This window comes from Homo sapiens, chromosome 10, assembly GCF_000001405.40.
Source record: "Homo sapiens chromosome 10, GRCh38.p14 Primary Assembly".
Taxonomy (NCBI): domain Eukaryota; kingdom Metazoa; phylum Chordata; class Mammalia; order Primates; family Hominidae; genus Homo; species Homo sapiens.
In genome coordinates, this window is record NC_000010.11 from 59,735,754 (window position 1) to 59,757,099 (window position 21,346).

The window sequence follows — 21,346 nt, forward strand, 5'->3', positions numbered from 1 at the left end:
AAAAGTAAACTTGATCTTTCTTCTTGATAAAAAAAAATGTTTAAATATGGAATAAGAAAACAGAGGCAATATTAAATACAGCAAGAGGAACTTGAATAAAGAATTACTGTAAGAAAAAGAGTTTAGCTCTACAGATTGGTTTTTAACTACACTTGTCTTATAAAGTTATTATTTACCTTTGGAGGCAACATATAGATTGTGAAGCCTCCGGATCCGGTTCCAGACACTTCCTAGTGTTGGCCTCAAACTGGCACAATTCTTCCAAGATTCAGTTTCTTCATCTGTAAAATGGAGGCAAGAAGTGCCTGCCACCTAGGGTTATTGTAAGCCTTAGATTAAATGACATAGAGTGAGCATTTAGTCCCAAATAGGAACTCAACATAGGTTATACTCTGCCTTCTCTCCTTTCTTATAAGTTGTTTTCCTAAAAGAATCTCTTCTAAGTATTTTCATTCGTAAGTCTTTGTTGATAGAAATATTTCTCACTTATCCAATTGCCCAGGGTTAAGAAAAATAATCCACCTACAAACAGATGAAATATGTGTATAAGAAAATTGGTACAGCATATGTAAAGATTATGCTACTGGAATGTTAAACTTGGTATGTTAAAAATAGAATTATATAAAATGTCACATAGGTACACATCCTAAAAAATCAACTTCACTCACAATCTCACGTATAAATTTTAGTCAATACACCAAATAACGACTATGTTAAAAAAATCCAGAAGTTGTTTGTTTGTTTGTTTGTTTTTGTTTTGAGACTGGGTCTCTCTCTTTCACCCAGGCTGGAGTGCAGTGGTGTGATCACAGCTCACTGCAAACTTGATTTCCTGGACTCAGGCGATTCTCCCACCTCAGCATCCCGAGTATGAGTATCTGGGACTATACAGGCATGCACCACCATGCCTGTCAAATTTTTTTAATTTTTATTTTTAGTAGAGATGGGATTTCTTCAGGTTGCTCAGGCCCGTATCGAACTCCTGCACTCAAGGGATCCGCCTACCTGGGCCTCTCAAAGTGCTGGGATTACAGGTGTGAGCCACCACACCTGGCTAAAAATCTAGAAGTTTCATGACTCAGTAGGATAGATGTTTTTGGGGAAAAAAATTCACTTCAGTATATGTGAATGTTTCATAAACCATAAAGAACTAAACAATACACAATGTTGTTTGTATTGCAGTGTCCTGTTGGCTTCTAGAATAAATTGGCAATGTCATAAAATGTGAGTCACTCAACAAGTTAAAATACAAATTTTTATTCACTGTAATTCAGTTTGAAATGTACATGGAAAGGAAGTCAGCTTTCTAAGAAGTTATCACAACATATATAATAGAAATTAAGTCAACAAAGATAACAAACAAAATTTTTAGAAGTCTTCCCACAATTTCATCTTCTAGACTTTTGGGAGTAGTAGTAGAAATTAATATCCAGTTTTTACCAGTCATATCCAGAATTATCCCGCTCCCTAGGAAAAAAGAGAAAAGTATCCTCAAATGAACACATTTATAATACTGATTCTTTCAACTCAATCTAATATTTCCACTATAAAAAGATTGTGAACAAGGTAAGTCTTCCAGGGAATATTCCACACCTATTTGTAACCAATCAATGAAATAAAATATTTTTCTCCCATTTATTTTGACCACTTTCTGTCAAAATCACAGGCTTTTCTCTATGCCAAACTTGCCTTTCTTTCTAAAACAAACAGCTCAAGGAACTTTCATAGTGGCCATTCCCTTTTCATGTTATCTGTAGTAAGTTTATTTATCAAGTATCTGCAGTCATTTCAATCATTTTTATTGGCATTGGTGAAGCTGCTATTCCTCTAACTTGTACTATTGGTGTTACCAGGAAGTGAGAATTTGAAGACATGAAAAAAGGCAGGTACTGATCAAAAAAAAAAAAAAAAAAAGGTATTTTTCTTTCCTCAAGATCCTGTCTGTCATGTTTTGGTTACTTACTAAGACATCAAACATTTAATTTCCTCCACATTTCTGTATTAATAAAACAGGTTTTAAAAACTACCTGGAATTTGTGGTCTGCATTCCACATTGTTGGAACAGTTTACCAAACGTCTGTTAGGCAGGACATTTAGAAGCATTCTTAATCCCTTTTACAGGGGATGTAAAGGCAAATAAGTGGTTTTCAAAGCCTTACACCAAAGTTCCCCATATATACTCAACTTAAAATGAACGTCAGTATCAAAAACGTGGCAAGATTTGGGTAGTAAAATATTTCATCTACTATTTTCACCCCAAAATAAAAAAGGCAGGTAGACTTTTAAGAGAGAATAAGAAAAAGAGAAGGGGAAAGAAATGAGTACTCTGCCAGTGTTGTCTACTCCCATTTTGAGCTATCTTGATAATTTCTGTAATAAATTGCTCCATTCCTAGAGAAGGGAATTACTTGCCCCAAATTATACAATAATCATTAGCAAAAGAAACACCTAGAATTTTCCCTGCATGCAACAATTCCTTTTGCCTGTGTTTCAGCAACAAGGAGCAAAAATAATACACGGGTTTGCAAAGTGATTTTCCTTCTCTCCAGAAACCTCAAACTCCAGCTTGTGTTTCTTCAGTCTGTGGCTCCCAGGGGTACCTTCAACTCTCTCCAAATAGAGTAAGAGAGAGACTGAAATAAGAAGTGAGGAGGGGAATAGACAATTAGTGAGGAATGAGGAGTGAGTAGAGACCCATTTCTCACCTGAATTAATCCCAGGTAGTGGTAGGTAACACGGCTTCTCAGTTTTCTGCTCTTGCCAGAACAAAGTGTATTCAGCACAGGTGGTCTCTTAGCAACCTTGATTCCTGTGTCAAATCATAGCAAAAAGTTTTACTGGACAGTGAGGTAGTGTAGGAAGTGGAGGGGCAGGGAGCCTACACAGAAAAACTTCTAAAATTGTTTTCAAAACTAGATTGGAAGGAGATGTCTAAGAGTGAACTTTTGAAAATATGACACTTTAATTTCTGTTTATCCCAGAATTGTAGAGCTTAAAACTGAACATTGGACAGAAAGATTAAGCTAAATTCTAGGATTTTCCTGGTGGGGCAAACATTCACCACACTTTTTAAAGAAGTAATTCCCGACCGGGCACGGTGGCTCACGCCTGTAATCCCAGCACTTTGGAAGGCCAAAGCGGGCAGATCACAAGGTCAGGAGTTCGAGACCAGCCTGACCAATATGGTGAAACCCCGTCTCTACTAAAAGTACAAAAAAAATTAGCCGGGCATGGTGGTGCTCACCTGTAATCCCAGCTACTCAGGAGGCCAAGGTAGGAGTATTGTTTGAACCCAGGAGGCGGAGGTTGCGGTAAGCCGAGATGGTGCCACTGCACTCCAGCCTGGGCGACAGAGGGAGATTCCGTCTCAAAAAAAAAAAAAGAAAAGAAAAGAAATAATTCCCTAAAAATTGTCTGAAACCAAGGCTTTAATATCTTCATGACAAAACAACAATTACAACCAGAAAAGCCTTCGTATGTAAGTGACCATAACTCATGAGATTGTGTGCCTATTTTTTAAGTACAGTCATCCCTCAGTACCCATGAGGGATTAGTTCTAGAATACCCCACAGATACAGTAACCATGGATACCAAAATCCATAAATGCTCAAGTCCCTGATATAAATGGCATAGTATTTACATATAAACTACACATATCCTCCCATATGCTGTAAATCATCTCCATACGTTACTTATAATACCTAATACAATATAAGTGCTATGTAAATAGCTGTTATGCTGTATTGTATACAAAACAATGACAAGAAAAAAAGTCTGTACATATGCAATAGAGATACATAGTTTTTTCAAAATATTTTCAATCTGTGGTTGGTTGAATCCATGGATATGGAACCCATGGATCTGGAGGGCCAACTGTATTATGTTTTAGTATTTTGTATCATTTTTACAAACAAATTAGAAAATGGAGTGAATTTATTACAAAAGACAAGGCTATAAAATCTGATTGCTGTCTCCTTTAACCATGTGCAGTCACACACTGCATAATGACTTGAGTCAATGAAGGACTGGCAGTAGTCCCATGAGATTATAACAGAGTTGGCCGGGCACAGTGGCTCACGCCTGTAATCCCAGCACTTTGGGAGGCCAAGGCGGGTGGATCACAAGGTCGGGAGTTCAAGACCAGCCTGGCCAAGATGGTGACACCCTGTCTATACTAAAAATACAAAAATTAGCCGGGCATGGTGGCAGGCGCCTGTAATCCCAGCTACTTGGGAGGCTGAGGCAGAGAATTGCTTGAACCTAGGAGGTGGAGGCTGCAGTGAGCTGAGATCGCGCCACTGCACTCCAGCCTGGGAGATGGAGTGAGACTCCATCTTAAAAAAAAAAAAAAAGATTATAACAGAGTTGTAAAATTCCTATGTCTTAGTGAAGTCATAGTTGTTATAATGTCATAGCACAATGCATTACTCATGTGTTTGTGGTGATGCTGCTATAAACAAACCTACAGCACTGCCAGTCCTGTGAAACCACAGCATGTACAATGATGTATGGTACATAATACTTGATAATGATAAAAAATGACTGTTAATAGTTGTATTGACTATACTATACTTTTTATTATTTTAGAGTGCACTCCTTGTCCTTATCTTTTTAAAAGTTAACTGTAAAACAGCCCCAGGTAGGTCCTTGAGGTATTCCAGAAGAAGGCATCATTATCACAGGAGATGACAGCTCCATGCATGCTATTGTCCCTGAAGACCTTCCAGTGGGACAAGATGCCGACGTGGACGACAGTGATATTAATGATCCTGGCCCTGTGCAGACCTAGGCTAATGTGTGTGTTTGTGTCTTATAAGAAAAAAAATTAAAAATTTTGATAGAAAAAAGCTTATAGAATTAGGATATAAAGAAAGAAAATGTTTGTGTACAGCCATACAATGTGTTTGTGCTTTAAGCTAAGTATTATTATTATTATGAAAGAGTCAAAACATTAAGAAAATTAAAAAGTTTATAAAGTAAAAAATTGCAGTATATGAAATTTAATTTTTTTCTTTTTCTTTGTTTTCTTTCTTTCTTTCTTTCTTTCTTTCTTTTTTTTTTGAGACAGAGTCTCTCTCTTATCGCCCAGGCTGGAGTGCAATGGCGCGATCTCAGCACACTGCAACCTCTTCCTCCTGGATTCATGCAATTCTCCTGCCTCAGCCTCCCGAGTAGCTGAGATTACAGGAATGCACCACCACATCTGGCTGATTTTTGTATTTTTAGTAAAGACGGTATTTCACCATGTTGGCCAGGCTGGTCTTGAGCTCCTCCCCTGAGGTGATCCGTCTGCTTCAGCCTCCCAAAGTGCTGAGATTACAGAGGTGAGCCACCAGTCCCAGCCTATTTCTTTATTCTGAAACTTAATTTATTACTGATGAAAGAAAAAAATGATAAATAAATTTAGTGTAGCCTAAGTGTACAGTGTTCACAAAGTCTAGAGTAGTGTACAGGAATGTCCTAGGCCTTCAAATTCACTCACCATTCACTCAGTGACTCACCCAGTGCAACTTCCAGTCCTGCAAGCTCCATTCATGGGAAGTGCCCTATACAGGTGTACCACTGTTTATCTTTTATACCACATTTTTACTGTACATTTTTTATTTTAATTTTTTATTTACTTTCTTATTTTATTTTTAATTTTTTTGAGATAGTATCTCACTCTGTCACCTAGGCTGGAGTGCAGTGGCACAAATATGGCTCACTACAGGCTCGACCTCCCAGGCTCAAGCGATGCTCCCACCTCAGCCTCCTGCGTAGCTGGGACTACAGGTGTGTGCCACCATGCCTAGCTAATTTTTTGTATTTTTTGTGGAGATGGGATTTTGCCACGTTGCCCAGGCTGATACTGAAGCCCTGAGCTCAAGCAGTCCACCTGCCTTAGCCTCCCAAAATGCTAGGATTACAGAGGTGAGCCACCACACCCAGCCTATTTCCTTATTTTGAAACAGGAGCTTGCTCTGTTACCCAGGCTGGAATGTAGTGGTGTGATCATAGCTCACTGTAACCTTGAACTCCTGGGCTCATTCAATCCTCCCTCCTCAGCTCCTGAGTAGCTACGGCTACAGGTGTGCACCGCCTTGCCTGGCTAATTTTTAATTTTTTGTAGAGACGGAGTCCTGCTATGTTGCCCAGGCTAGTCTCAAACTCCTGACCTCAAGCAATCCTGGGAGAACAGGAGTGCGATTCTAGCTCACTGCAGCCTCAAACTGCTGGCCTCAGGTGGTCCTCCCCTCCTCAGTTTCCCAAAGCACTGGGGAGCCACTGCACCTTGATGATATTAAAATGTTTAAATATGATTATAACTCCTACTTATAACCACCCATTACACTCCTAAGTGTATCCCCCACCAGAATGCATGGCTATCTGCCTACCAAGACACATATCCAAACATTGTAATAGCTTCAATATGGAAACAACTTAAATGCCATTAGTACACGGATAAATTGTGGCATAGTCATATAATGGAATATTATATAATAGTAAAAATTAAACTACAGCTATAGACAAAAACAAAGATGAATCTTACAAATATACCATTGAATTTTAAAATACAAAAACAGGTGAATCTAATAAAGATAGCATTGAATTTTAAAAAGCAAGACACAAAAGACAACAGCGTAAGTACATTTATATAAACTAGAAAAATAGAGTTAAAGTGCATGGTTTAGGGGTATATATATGGTTGGCAGTAATGCAAGTGGTAAATTTATCAAGAAAAGAAAGAGATTTGCTACCACAAAATCAGAGTAGTCCTGACTTTAGGGAGTATAGGGGAAGGAAACAGGCAAGAGATTCCAACAGTGTTTCATCTCTTGTCCTGGGTGGTGGTTATACTAGCAATCACTTTTTAACTGTTTATTAAACTGTACATAGAAGCTTCATGTGATTTATTTCCTTCCTTCCTTCCTTCCCTTCCTTCCTTCCCTTCCTTCCCTTTCTTTTCCTTCCTTCCCTTTCTTTTCCTTCCTTCCTTCCTTCTTGCTTGCTTTCTTTCGAGAGTCTCACTCTGTATCCTAGCTTGGAGTGTAGTGGTACAATCCTATTCCATTGCAGCCTTGAACTCCTGGACTCAAGCAATCCTCCCACCTCAGCCTCATGAGTAGCTGGGGCCACAGGCACATGCAACCACACCCAGGTAGTTTATTTTTATTTTTGTAGAGACAGGGTCTCACTATATTCCCCAGGCTGGTCTTGAACTCCTGGCCTCCAGTGATCCTCCTGCCTCAGCCTCCCAAAGTGGTGGGATTACAGACATGAGCCACTGTACCTGGCCTTCATGTGCTTTTCTGTATATATGTTAGACTTCATAATTAAAATACTAAACAAAATAAAAGACCAGAGAGAAATAAATCCAAATGTCAATAGTGGCCATAGTTGTGAAGTTTGGGTGGAAGGAATTTGGGTGATTTTCTTTTCCCTCTGCTGTTTCCATTTCTCACTGCCACCCGCCCCCGCCCCCCACCACACCTTGCTGTTTCCATTTCTCACATTCATTCATTTAAAAGGATATTGCCTATATAACTTCAGAACACTAAGGAAAGTAGTCTCATTACTGTTAGTCTTCCTCCCTCTGATATATTTCAAAGTAATTTATACTGATTTTATTTTTGTCAAACCAATCATTATAACAAATATGAATGAAAGGAAAATTACATTTATCAACGAAACATTTTAATGAAAGTATGTAACTTCTATGATAAGGCAAATCTCTTCCACCATGAGGAACAGGAACCAGGGGTTCCTGTTTGGTTTTTGCCCTTGATGTTAGGTCTGTTTCTAGATCTAAATAATTGGAAGGACACAAATTTGTCTCATCACAAGTTTCCTAACACACCCAGGTTTTACTGTGGATTAAAATTATGAGTCACATGGTGCTTGGATTTACATTGAAAATGAATCATGGGTCGTTCCCCCTCCGCCTCCCCCTCCCTCTTTGCATGGTCTCCCTCTGATGCCCAGCCGAGGCTGGACTGTACTGCTGCCATCTCGACTCACTGCAACCTCCCTGCCTGATTCTCCTGCCTCAGCCTGCCGAGTGCCTGGGATTGCAGGTGCGCGCCGCCACGCCTGACTGGTTTTCGTATTTTTTGGTGGAGACGGGGTTTCGCCATGTTGGCCGGGCTGGTCTCCAGCTCCTGACCATGAGTGATCTGCCAGCCTCCGCCTCTCAGGTGCCGGGATTGTAGACGGAGTCTGGCTCACTCAGTGCTCAATGTTGCCCAGGCTGGAGTGCAGTGGCGTGATCTCGGCTCGCTACAACCGCCACCTCCCAGCCGCCTGCCTTGGCCTCCCAAAGTGCCGAGATTGCAGCCTCTGCCCGGCCGCCACCCCGTCTAGGAAGTGAGGAGTGCCTCTGCCTGGCTGCCCATCATCTGGGATGTGAGGAGCCCCTCTGCCTGGCCGCCCAGTCTGGGAAGTGAGGAGCACCTCTTCCCGGCCGTCATCCTGTCTAGGAAGTGAGGAGCGTCTCTGCCCGGCCACCCATTGTCTAGGATGTGGGGAGCGCCTCTGCCCCACCGTCCCGTCTGAGATGTGAAGAGTGCCTCTGCCCGGCCGCGACCCCGTCTGGGAACTGAGGAGTGTCTCTGCCCCGCCGCCACCCGTCTGGGAGGTGAGGAGTGTCTCTGACCAGCTGCTCCGTCTGAGAAGTGAGGACCCCCTCCGCCCGGCAGCTGCCCCTTCCGGGAGGCGGGGAGCAGCCGCGCCCGGCCAGCCGCCCCGTCCGGGAGGTGGGGGGCAGCCCCCGCCCGGCTGCCACCCCGTCTGGGAGGTGGGGGAGCGCGCCTCTGCCCAGCCGCCCCTACTGGGAAGTGAGGAGCCCCTCTGCCCAGCCGCCACCCGGTCTGGGAGGTGTACCCAACAGCTCATTGAAAACGGGCCATGATGAAGATGGCGGTTTTGTCGAATAGAAAAGGGGGAAATGTGGGGAAAAGAAAGAGAGATCAGATTGTTACTGTGTCTGTGTAGAAAGAAGTAGACATAGGAGACTCCATTGTGTTCTGTACTAAGAAAAATTCTTCTGCCTTGGGATGCTGTTAATCTATAACCTTACCCCCAACTCCGTGCTCTCTGAAACATGTTCTGTGTCCACTAAGGGTTAAATGGATTAAGGGCGGTGCAAGATGTGCTTTGTTACACAGATGCTTGAAGGCAGCATACTCGTTAAGAGTCATCACCACTCCCTAATCTCAAATACCCAGGGACACAAACACGGCCGAAGGCAGCAGGGCCCTCTGCCTAGGAAAACCGGAGACCTTTGTTCACATGTTTATCTGCTGACCTTCCCTCCACTATTGTCCTATGACCCTGCCAAATCCCCCTCTCTGAGAAACACCCAAGAATGATCAATAAATACTAAAAAAAAAATAAAATAAAATAAAAAAAAGAAAATGAATCATGGTAGTGTTTCTTCTTTAGGATTGAAGGGGCATTTGTTGAAGAGAATAGCTATTTAACAGCAGTAATTTTCAGGATGAAATATTTCCTAGTTTTTATCTGATAGAAACATGTACCAAAAAATATACACAAATTTTAAACAAGTTAGGACACCTTAAAAACTATGCTACAACTTACTGAATGTGTTTATCTCAGGACCTTGGTCTTATCTCCAACGTAATGTTTTAACATCATAGTTAAAATGACATGACCTTCCATTTCTGATATGACAGCTGAGGTTATTTTGGGTCAGATTTTTTTTATGTTGAAACTTCAGATGACGGCAAATAATTCCCCCCCCCACCCCCCACCCCCCACCATGTGAACACCTCTGCCTTTCTTTTCCTCATTTCTAGAGGCCATTGGGAGTCACTTTATTATTTTATAGACTGTTGTACTGAAAGTAGAATGGATACTCTCATCTAGTTTATAAGTTTTTATTTCTTCCTTTGATTGTATCAAGATTCAGGTCCAAATAATCTAATTTAAATTGACCTGTTCATTGCTTATTAGATAGTTGAGGAGTGGTATCCCACAGAGTTAGACAAATGAGAGTAGCAGGAACCCCTGGTTTCTAGGAGCTGGACTTCATTGTATCCTCTGTTCTTCACTCTGCCACCAGTTTGTAAGCCCTTGCCTTTGAAGTCAACTCTGACTCCAGGGACCATAAGAACAATGTATTTTCTAAATGGCTTGGTCCCCTGGCAAAAAAAACCACAACAACAAAAAAACAAACAACAACAAAAAAATCCCTCTATTATATAAAAGTATTACGAGTTCTGAGACTTCACACTTTTCTCAATTTCTCCTAACCTCTAACATTTCTCTTTATTAAGTGTGGATTTTTGGTTAGGACAAAGTACAAAATGAATATACTTTGCAAAGTCCCTTTTTCACTCAAAATAAAAACACTTTTCATTGGATTCAAGTTTATAATCTTAAACACATCAGTCACACTTCAAAAATATTTTCTTTTTTAATAAAAATTTTCTAACCCTTCTCCTTGTTTCAATCAATGTCTAACAGTTAAGATAATATTGATAGAAGTTCCCTAGAGGCATATGTTGAAAAATGAGACACAGTTGAAATCTGTCCACTTTTGCTTAATAAGCTACTTAAGTAAATAATATTATAATAACCACCATTTATTGAGGGTCTATTATGTGCCAGGCGCTGCTTATGCACAACTGGGAGATGAAGGACTTTGAGTATTCTGTGCCATAGTTTAGAAACTAATCCAGTACTTCAGCTTCCAGATGCCATGCTCTTTCAACTATACTGATTTATTCATGTTTTAAAATGAAAAGTTACTTTTGAAAAGATCTACATTATAATGGAAATGGACTATACTGGCATGGAAACATCACATAATTATTAATGGCCATGCTCCTTCTTCAGTCCTGGATCCTTTCTATATAAGTGAGCTGGTTGTGGATGGGATGGAAGGGCTGACAGTTACCCCTCTGGCCCTGATAACCCCAAATTTGCCGGAATTCACTTTATAACAGTTAGTTGCTAATTTATTCACATCAAAACAATCTGCCCTTTGTAAATGGGACATTGCCCAGATCACAACTGTGAGCTCACTATTTAACAACAAATTTAGCTGAAAGTACAGTTTTTTTGTTTTTGCTCTTGTTGCCCAGGCTGGAGTCCAATGGCACGATGTCGGCTCACTGCACACTGCAGCCTCCACCTCCCGGATTCAAGTGATTCTCCTGCCTCAGCCTCCTGAGTAGCTGGGATTACAGGCATGCACCACCACGTCTGGCTAATTTTTGTATTTTTAGTAGAGATGGGGTTTCTCCATGTTGGTCAGGCTGGTCTTGAACTCCCAACCTCAGGTGATCCGTCCGCCTCATCCTCCCAAAGTGCTGGGATTACAGGCGTGAGCCACTGCTCCCAGCTAAAAGTACAGTTTTTATTATTTATTTTTATTATCTTTTACTACCTATTTTATTCATATTTATTGTTATTTGTTTTTAACCACTTGTTACCTTATGGCTAACAAGTTTCTCCCCTTGACCTCCTTAACATTAACTAAGCTGAGAAATAATAAGAATGCTGCCAAGACATGGTGTTTGAGAGATGGGTCTAGAATCAGACTGACAGAGTTTGAATCTCAGGTCTGCCACTGTGCATGAGATCTTAAGCAAGCTACGTTAACTCTGTGCCTCAGTTGGCACTTCCATAAAGTGGGGATAATGGTACCTGCTTCTTAGGGTAGCCTGATAATTCAATGAGATAATGCTTGTGCCTAGAAAGTAAACATTTAGTAAGTGATAGTGTCTATTATTAATTACAGTTTAGCATATTACTGTTAGACAGTAGCCCTTGAATGAATCATTCTTCTCAAGTTCTCTTTAAGTACCTAAACAGGCAAAACTGTTAAACTCCTATTCATCCTTTGAGATTCAATCTCACCTCCTCTGTTATCCAATCTGACTTCCTTAGACAGAATGTATTTCCGACTTGTCCGTAACATGTTGCCAGTGACCACACTGTATCATGGTTGTTTACATGCAATACGCTATAGTCAGTGATGCTTTCCTAGAAGGTAGGGGACGGCCTTATTCATCCTGGATTCCAGTGCCTCACACTCTCCGACACTAATTAGTTCTCAAAAAATACTGACTTGACTATACTTAAAGCAGAAGCTTTCTGGGAAGAATGAAAGTTCACTTTGTCCAAATGACAATTACAACAAGAAAAACATACATAATAAGTCTACTTCTCCCGGCAAATAATTTTAAAAATAAAATCCCAAAGTTGGGTGCTTGCAACTTGTCTCCCTATGGAGAACATCTCCCTTTCCCAGAAAGTTTATGTTCAAGACAACTGTCTTTTAGAAACTTGAGAAATCATATGAGAACTATGTCTTATTAATGCTTTTTCTTTTGTTTTTTTTTTTTTTGCTTATAATTAGGGAAGCAAGTCAAGTTGTTGGAAGGCAAGAAAAACTTGGCACAGGACGTGCAGGGTTTTAGAATGGGATGATCTGTTGGGATGGCCACCGTTTCTACAGCATACTGGAGGTTTGCCCTCACTAAACTCAAATTCGAGTAATTTGGGAAAATTTGGGCATATGCAATGGTAAATGGATTTTTTGTGTTCTGTAAGCTTCTAAAATTTGAGTTCAAGCTGCATTTTCTGAGCTCATTAAGGTCCCCTTCAATTCTGCCCGAAGTTGAATTATATGAGAAAGGAAATTTAACACAAATCTGAGAAATTAACTTATCAATGACATGAACATTATATCATAGAAAGCTTGTATGGGAATTAAATAATGCATATGGCTGTATGTTTAAATGATGGCAGGCATTATTCTTGCACCTTGTTTCCTGATTAAGACATGATCTCAGGTCAATTATTCTCTTTCCAGCTAAGAAAAACAATAAGGGGGAAAGACTGGAAATACTAACGAAATGTTGGTATAGAAAAGATATTGGAGCTTTTGTAAACTTCTCATTTGACAAACAAGGCCCAGAGAAGTGCAGAGACTTGTCTGAGGTCACACAGTGACTTTTTCCAAAGCTAGTGCTACAATTGCCTCAGCAATTTTCTGACATTTATGATAGACTGGATTCTGCATTTCACCAGTCAGCTACGTGAGGAGAGTCTACCTTCATCACCCTCCAACATCTTTGATTCCAGCCCATGTATAACCAGAGAGTCCAGATCAAAGCAAATCACAAGTGAAAAGTAGAAAATGTGGCAGGTCAGGGCCACAAGGCAGAGAATTTGACAAGTGGACTTCGACTGAACACAGAAACATGTTAGTCACAGATGATCAGTCAGCAAGGTGGAGTGAGGAGAGAGTACAGGATCTGAACCAGATGGAACCAGTTTGAGATCCTGGCTCTTACCACTATTAACTCTGCAGCCTTGGACAAAGCACCTGACCTCAGATGCCACCTCATCTGGAGAACAGAGAGAGTAATATCTGTCTTGTGGGGGGTTGAAAGGACTTTATTCATAGCTAAAGTTCAGTGCCTTCTATACACACTTATTTTTAATCTCATAAAACTTTATGAGGTGGAATATTCATACCACTATTTTCTTATTCAAAAATACAGAAACCCAGAGAGGTTAAGATAGCTGTCCAACGTTACACACGTACTAAGAGGTGACCAAGGATTTTTATGGAGATTTGTTTGGCTCCAATGCCCACGGCCTTAGCCACTGCAATATTGCAGGACTGGTAAAAATGTAAGCCAAGAGGCCAGGCATGGTGGCTCACACCCGTAATCCCAGCACTTTGGGAGGCCAAGGCAGGCAGATCACCTGAGGTCAGGAGTTGGAGATCAGCTTGGCCAACATGGCAAAACCCTGCCTCTACTAAAAATGCAAAAATTAGCTGGGCGTGGTGGTTCGCACCTGTAGTCTCAGCTACTCAGGAGGCTGAAGCACAAGAGTCGCTTGAACCTGGCAGGCAGAGGTTGCAGTGAACCGAGATCGTGCCACTAAACTCCAGCCTGGGTCTCAAAAAAAAAACAAAACAAAACAAGCAAACAAAAAAAGTAAGCCAAGAGCCCAGCATGCTGCCTGACACTCAATAAATAGTGCCTAGTTCAGTGAAGCAGCAGATTCAGAAAGATGGCCACTTCCTTGCAGCCCAGCCATGAAGAGGGATGGAGTAGCTCAGTTAGATGAGAGGAAACAAATAGCCCTTAAGAGATGGAAAGCCCAGAGAAGCTGAGGCAGACACACAGACACATGAGCAGCAGGGTGTTGGCTCGCCTGGCAGCACTCCTGAGGGTCCATCTGATCACCCACCCGCCCCAGGTCAGAAAGCAGGTTTCAGACCTGTCAGGAGCCACTGTGTTTCTCTTCTCTTCAATGGAACCTCCCTTGCTCTCTCTCTCTCTCTCTTTTTTTTTTTTTTTTTTTTTTTTTTTGAGACGGAGTTTCGCTCTTGTTGCCTAGGCTGGAGTGCAATGGCACAATCTTGGCTCACTGCAACCTCCGCCTCCTGGGTTTAAGTAATTCTCCTGCCTCAGCCCCCGAGTAGCTGGGATTACAGGCTCCCACCACCACACCGGTTAATTTTTGTATTTTTAGTAGAGACAGGGTTTCACCATGTTGGACAGGCTGGTGTTGAACTCCTGACCTCAGGTGATCCATCCTCCTTGGCCTCCCAAAATGCTGGGATTACAGGCATGAGCCATCACGCCCAGCCCACTTGCTTTCTTTTTAGGTCAACATCTGTTCAGTTTTGGCTTTCCCAAGCCATTGATGGCCATGCCTCAAATGTTTGAAGTAAATGTTCTGGCCCTAAAAAGAACAATTTTTCTACATATGAACAAACATGACTTCTTAATCCTCCACTATCAGGACTCTTGAAGGTTAAAGTTTCTAGCTGCCATATTCTTGCCCTAAACAGATCATACATTGCCCCTGAGATGACATGAATTTATTCAGTTATGGGCACTGAACATTACGAAATATTCTGGAATTGAAATAATCAAAATGTTATCAACCTTCTCCCTGCCAAGTCTTCCAGCCCTCTCCATGAATCACAGTTGTGATGCACTTTTACAAAGCCGGATGAAATGCCCGGAGCCCTGGCTGGGGATCAGCTGTGCGAGGCTTCCTCAGAGAGCCCCAACGCAGCGGTGCCAGCAGACACTTGTCCTTTGAGTGGTGCGAGGATGCAGAAATGGGTGCAGGATGCAGAAACGGGTGCAGGATGCAGAAATGGGACTAGGGGGGCTTGTTTGTGTTTTTTGACCTGCAGAACTCAGATATCCAAATGAGTGTCATTCCCATTTGGAGTTGGTGAATGGAGGGGAGTGGGGAAATCTCTGGACTTTTTTGAGTATTCAAAGGCATTTGGCAAAACCTTTTAAACTGCCTACTTGGCCTGCAACACACACTCCTTGGTATAAATTCACTGGTGGCAATGTCTTTATGTTTTTAGGTGCAGATCTGATTTCTGAAACAAGCTGATTGTTCTTTGGAGTCAAGTTTAGCTGAAAATAGATGGTTAGGCTGGAGAATAGAATTTCAAGTTTAAATGACAGACTATGACCACCTTTAGAGCAGAAATGATATCTCTAGCATTTTCCACAGAGCTTGGAACAAAGTAAGTGCTTAATGACAATTTTTTTCCATAGGGCAGATGAGGTATGACTTTAAGGTGTTGCTCTTCTATTCTTCACAAAGTCATTACTTAGAAGGTGATACTTGGCCAGGTGCGGTGGCTCACACCTATAATTCCAGCACTTTGGGAGACCAAGGCGGTGGTTCACTTGAGCCCAGGAGTTTGAGACCAGGCTGGGCAACATGGCAAAACCCTGTCTCTACTAAAAAAAAATAATAACAAAAAATTAGCTGGGCATGTTGGTGCACACCTGTAGTCCCAGGTACTCGGGAGGCTGAGGTGGAAGAATCACTTGAGCCTGGGAGGTGGAGATTGCAGTGAGGTGATATCAAGCCACTGCACTCCAGCCTGGGTGACAGAGTAAGACTCTGTCTCAAAAAAAAAAAAAAAAAAAAAGTGATACCCAAGGAGGAGTACTGAACCATGAGTAAGCCCATTCTGACTTTTATAGACCCCGTTTTAGGTTAGCACATGGTGTCTTGCACATGGTAGGAATTAAATACATATTTGCACAATTAAAGTTTACAGAGGAAAACAAAAATCCAATCATATTTCCTGAGTTACAGAGCAACACTTTGGAAAGCAGGTATTGAGACAATCCTTCTTTCTGTCTTATCCAGACACACAGAATCTAATGTGGCAAGGGTGGAAACCAGTCTTTTGGAAACATAGAAAGACAGAGCAAAAAGAAAAATGTTAGAATGCTGATTATAATAGAGCACATACGTTTATGGAAATAATAGTTTATATTTTGAAGTTGTTTGGGGAGGTTTCTCATCATCGCTGATCTTAGCTGTAGACTTAATGTCTTGATTGCTAACAATATACCATCCTCCAATCCACCTGTCCTCAGCATTTGCATGGTTTACACTATTCTAAAAATGAAGTTACTAAAAGTAGTAGAAGTCAGATATCGCCTCTACAGTTTAAATTCATGTTTCCCATCAAAAACCATATTTGGAGGCTCTGGATTTAAATTGGAAACAAATGAGAGATAATTAGGAAGATTCAGGAAAAATTCAAAGAAGGAATTTATAAATTTGTTAAAATAACAGTCACTGTCACTATACTTGGCTTCTTATATACACTGAGTAAACCCCACCACGTTGTAAAAGAGACTATGATTCTCATTTTACAAATGAGCAAACTGAGGCTCAGAGTGGTTGAGTACTTTCTTAGGATCACACAGCTTGTATGTGGTCCAAGCCAGGGCTCAACAACAAGACCACATCTGCCTCCTTCCAGTTCCCTGTCATGCTTCCCTTACACATTTTATTTAGAAGCCTGGTGCACATGTTCAAGAATTGAACATACATAACCAAAGCAGAAAGCTATATTAGTCTGTGGTCTTGAAGAAGGATTGGAGTGTCAGGTTTTAACCCTGCTCAAGAGAACCAAGCGGGGCATTGGCCTTTCTGGGCTTCAGGGTCCCCCTTTTCTAGACAGAAAACATAGTGACCTACTTTGAAGGACTCTCAGAAGCACCCAGCATAAAGAAGGCTGCAAAGACAAAGAAAGCCTCTGGCTAAAAAACAAGGAAGGAATGAATCCATGGAACAAGACAGGTGCCCTCTCTGATCCAAACCTATAACAAGGGGGAAAAAAACAAAAGTGCCCAGGTCTCTTGTCCAACTACTCCTCCCCCCAATCCCCTACATATACTTTTCATATGTGAAAATTCTCTTTGAAATCACTGGAATTCTATTTGGAGAGAAAATACAAGGAGACAGGTCAAGCTGCAGCCACAGGTCTTGGTCAAGTAGTTTAAATATCGTTAATCCTTTGCTTCTCCTCCTGCCTTTATTTAACCAAAAGAAAATGAGAGGAGTAGAAATCTAATTCATTGGTCTCTCTTTATAATCAGCCTTATAAAAAGCAGAGAGATGCTGCAGGGAATAGGAAATAGGCTTTATGAGTCTAAGTGAATTTTAGCCTACTATGTTCTCCCTCTATCAGAAGCACATAAACTTTAGAGTCACACTAAACTTTCCTCCAAAATCAACGTCTTAAAATGCTACATTAAAAAACAAAACAAAACAAACAAAAAAAAAACACTTACTGTCCAGGGGTTCAATAAGCGAAGTCCAAAGTCAAGGGAATGATCTCTCTCTTTTATGAAAAACACCATATGGTCTTGGTGGATCAGGAGGCTCACTGGTCTGTTATTAATAACTGGCTTAGAGCTTTATGAAGAAACATGAGCCAGAATGTCACGGGAGGAGGCAAGTGGAAAGAAATTGACAGGCACAGGTGGAACAAATTATAACAAAGATATACTTATGCCCACACAGGAGCTCAAAGAACCCATGAGAAGGAGATCAGTTCCTCCACAATCAATAGACCCTTATGTCAAGTTTTTGAAGAGTTAAACAACCAACAAAATATCCTGAATGTCGGCAGGGAACATCACACACCAGGGCCTGTCGGGGAGGGGGTGGGAGCCGGGGGGAGGGATAGCATTAGGAGAAATACCTAATGTAAGTCAGAAGTTGATGGGTGCAGCAAACCAACATGGCATATGTATACCTATGTAACAAACCTGCATGTTGTGCACATGTACCCTAGAACTTGAAGTATAATAATAATACAAAAAATCAGGAATGTCAAAAAGACACCATGACTCATTTAATGTTATACTATCCTTTGCTCTTCTGAACAATTATTTTCCATGGACATCTGAATATCTTCTTAAATTTATACATTTTACCTTGTTTATATTGACTCCTCAATTTTAAAAATCTATCAACAAATGGATTTTGAAATGCATGTTATCAACTTTTTAAAGTTTGTTTACCTGTGAGCATATCAGCTGGCTTCCCTTAGAGATCCCAAAACAATTCCTGGAAACATATAGGTACATGTGGGGGTTGGAGGCTGGATCTTGGGATTGTATCATACATAAATTCATGTGGTAAGAATGGAGGTGTAATCATCACTTTACTTCTGGTTGGCAGTGGCTCTCCTCTTTTGGAAACTTATATTTCAAAACATTCCAAATTCTGTGCCTTCCCTCCTCCCCCATAAATGGCATCAAATTGTTTATAATATTAACAGTATGTCTTTATACCTAATTACATTAAACACTGGTTCTGTCTGAAGTATTAAAAGAAACTGACAATTATGTGGCTGGGAGTGGTGGCTCATGCCTGTAATACCAGCACTTTGGAAGGCCAAAGCAGGCAGATGGCTTGAGCTCCGAAGTTCGAGACCAGCCTGGGCAGCATGGTGAAACCCAGTATCTACAAAAAAAATACAGAAAAGTAGCCAGGTATGGTGGCACATGCCTGCAGTCCCAGCTACTCAGGAGGCTGAGGTAGAAGGATCACTTGAACCCTGGAGACAGAGGTTGCAGTGAGCCAAGATCATGCCATGGCACTACAGCCTAGGTAACAGAGCAAGACTCTGTCTCAAAAAATAAAAAAGAAAACTGACAATTAGAGAAAAGTTACTGAAATACATAAAGATTGTTAAATTGCTTCTTTTTTTCTTTTTCAATAGAGATAGGGACTCACTCTGTCACCCAGGCTGAAGTGCAGTATCATGATCATAGCCCACTGCAGCTTTGAACTCCTGAGTTTAAGCAATCCTCCCACCTTGGCCTCTTGAGTAGCTGGGACCATAGGCACGCGCCACTGCACTCAGCTAAATTTTCTTTTTTTTTTTTTGTAGAGATGAGGTCTTGCCTGGTCTTGAATCCTGGACTCAAGTGACCCTTTGCCTCTGTCTCCCAATGTGATGGAATTACAGCCGTGAGCCACTGCACCCAGCCAACTGCTTCATTCTTAAGGTTCCAGCTACTTCTCACCCTGGCTCAGATCTAGTAACTGCTCTTTTGTCAAACTAAACCTTTTTCAGCTAAACGCTGTGGTCGGTGGGGTGGATACCTCACTACAAACCTCACCCAGTGGAATGTTATTCTACTGAGGCAACTGTGAAAAAGAGAAACTGATATGCTAGTGACGCTCAGTTTAATAGATGGGAGAGAAGGAGTGGAATAGGTATATGGCCTTTCTTTTTTTTCCATTCTCTGGTCAATTAAAAAATTTTGAGTACCCACTGAATATATGTATTTTTATTTATAGAACATATGCATATACTATTGTAAATATATCATTTAAATCATAAAATATAAACACAATTTTTAAAAGAAGAAATGTAAAAATAAATAGACATTCTAATATTTTCTTACCACACTTCCAATGGGTCATCTTTACTGGTCCCTGGGGCATGGACACTCCACTCTGCAGCTGACTGATGAGTGTTCAGAACACCAGGCCCACCACTTATTAGCTGTTGTGGGTTGAACTGCATCCCCTAGAGACATTTTCAAGCCCAAGTCCTCAGTACCTGTGAATGTGACCCTATTTGGAAATAGGGCCTTGCTGATATAATCAAAATGAGATCATGCTGGATTAGGGTGGGCCCTAATCCAATGACCTGAGTCCTTGTGAGAAGTGGGAAATGGGGACATAGTCAGGCACATAGGGAGACATCATGTGACAAAGGAAATAGATATTGGAGTGACGTGTCCACAAGCCAAGGAATACCAAGGACTGTGGGCAACCACCAGAGAAGCAAGGAAGAGGCAAAGAAAGACCCTCCCCCAGAGCCTTCAGAGGGGCCATGGTCCTGCCGATACCTTAATCTTGGTCTTCTGGTCTCCATAAATGACACAATAAATTTCTGTTGTTTTAAGCCACCCTGTTGGTGGTAGAATTGAGGTTCTAATACTTTAAAAAGTATTTTTATAAAAAATGAAAGCAAATGTTTTAAGAATTCAAATTCAAAAAATTTAGTTAACTCTTTTTTTTAAAAAAAAGACTACTTTAATATTTGTTTTTGATAGAAAGAGCTGTCTTCTGAGTTATCCAAGTTCAGCATAATGCAAGCATACATTTGTATTCTATTTGGGCTTATTCTTCCTGAATTTAGACAGCTCTACTGATTGAATAATGTTTATTCAATTATTATGTTTCCTATTATTCAAGCATTATGTTTCCTAGATGTTTAAGATGATGAAAACGGGAGATGTGTGTTTAACTAAATTAATTATTCTGACAAACTTCATTTCAACAATAATTATGTTTTGTGGTATGTCAGCTTGAAGACAGTCTCTAAGATCTTTTAGTAACTTAAAACTTATGCTAGTTTAAGTTAATTAATGGATAGTCATTAAATATCTAGATCATTTCTAATAAGATAAAGTATTAAAATATTAATCACTAAGCATAATTTTAAGGCTGTATGTATTTTGCCACATTGAGAAATTGTACTATAAGGACATCTAAGCTATAAAACATTGTAAGGTGTATATTCATAAGCTTTGCTACAAAATTGTAGTGTCTGACTGCTCACAGGTATTTACCTCATAGCTATCTCTGTGAAATAGAAGTTAAAAAGTTATGATTAATATTCTGAGTGAGATTCTCTAGGAAAAATATTGCAGAGAAGAGTAACTTTGTACTCAGGATGTGTTTTTGTTAAGGTAAAGGAGCATAGTTTTGTCCTAAAGTAAAATGACTGGCTGTTCCAGAGTGAGGAAGAAGAATAGGTAGCACAAAACCTAAATGGATGTAGAAACCTGTAGAAGGTGCACAGAAAGGGAATTTTATTTGCCATAGTCGAAACTGGCTAAGGTTTAGTGGCTTTATTTACAAGATTTTCTTAAAAGAGTCTTGATATCAAACATTATGCTGATACAAAATTAAAACTGCTTTTCTTTCTGTTAAATGACAAAATTTTCTTGAATCATTTATGTACTTTTTAAGAGGTTGTTAAGATTTTTCTTTACCTTCTGAGAAATCT

At 40.6% G+C, this 21,346-nt stretch overlaps 1 protein-coding gene across 2 annotated transcripts; it reads right to left on the reverse strand.

Annotated features, from left to right (window-relative positions):
• Positions 1–938: 938 nt before the first annotated feature.
• On the reverse strand, positions 939–17,702 carry MRLN (myoregulin). Of its 2 annotated transcripts, NM_001304732.2 has the most exons (4): positions 17,601–17,702; positions 3,245–3,366; positions 2,706–2,809; positions 939–1,467 (listed from the first exon to the last, which is right to left on the reverse strand). In NM_001304732.2, exon 4 carries the CDS (start codon positions 1,445–1,447, stop codon positions 1,307–1,309), a length of 141 nt encoding a protein of 46 aa, NP_001291661.1. In that variant the 5' UTR covers positions 1,448–1,467; positions 2,706–2,809; positions 3,245–3,366; positions 17,601–17,702; the 3' UTR covers positions 939–1,306. The 2 variants fall into 2 exon arrangements, with proteins under 2 accessions (NP_001291661.1, NP_001291660.1); NM_001304731.2 differs by lacking the exon at positions 3,245–3,366.
• Positions 17,703–21,346: the final 3,644 nt, after the last annotated feature.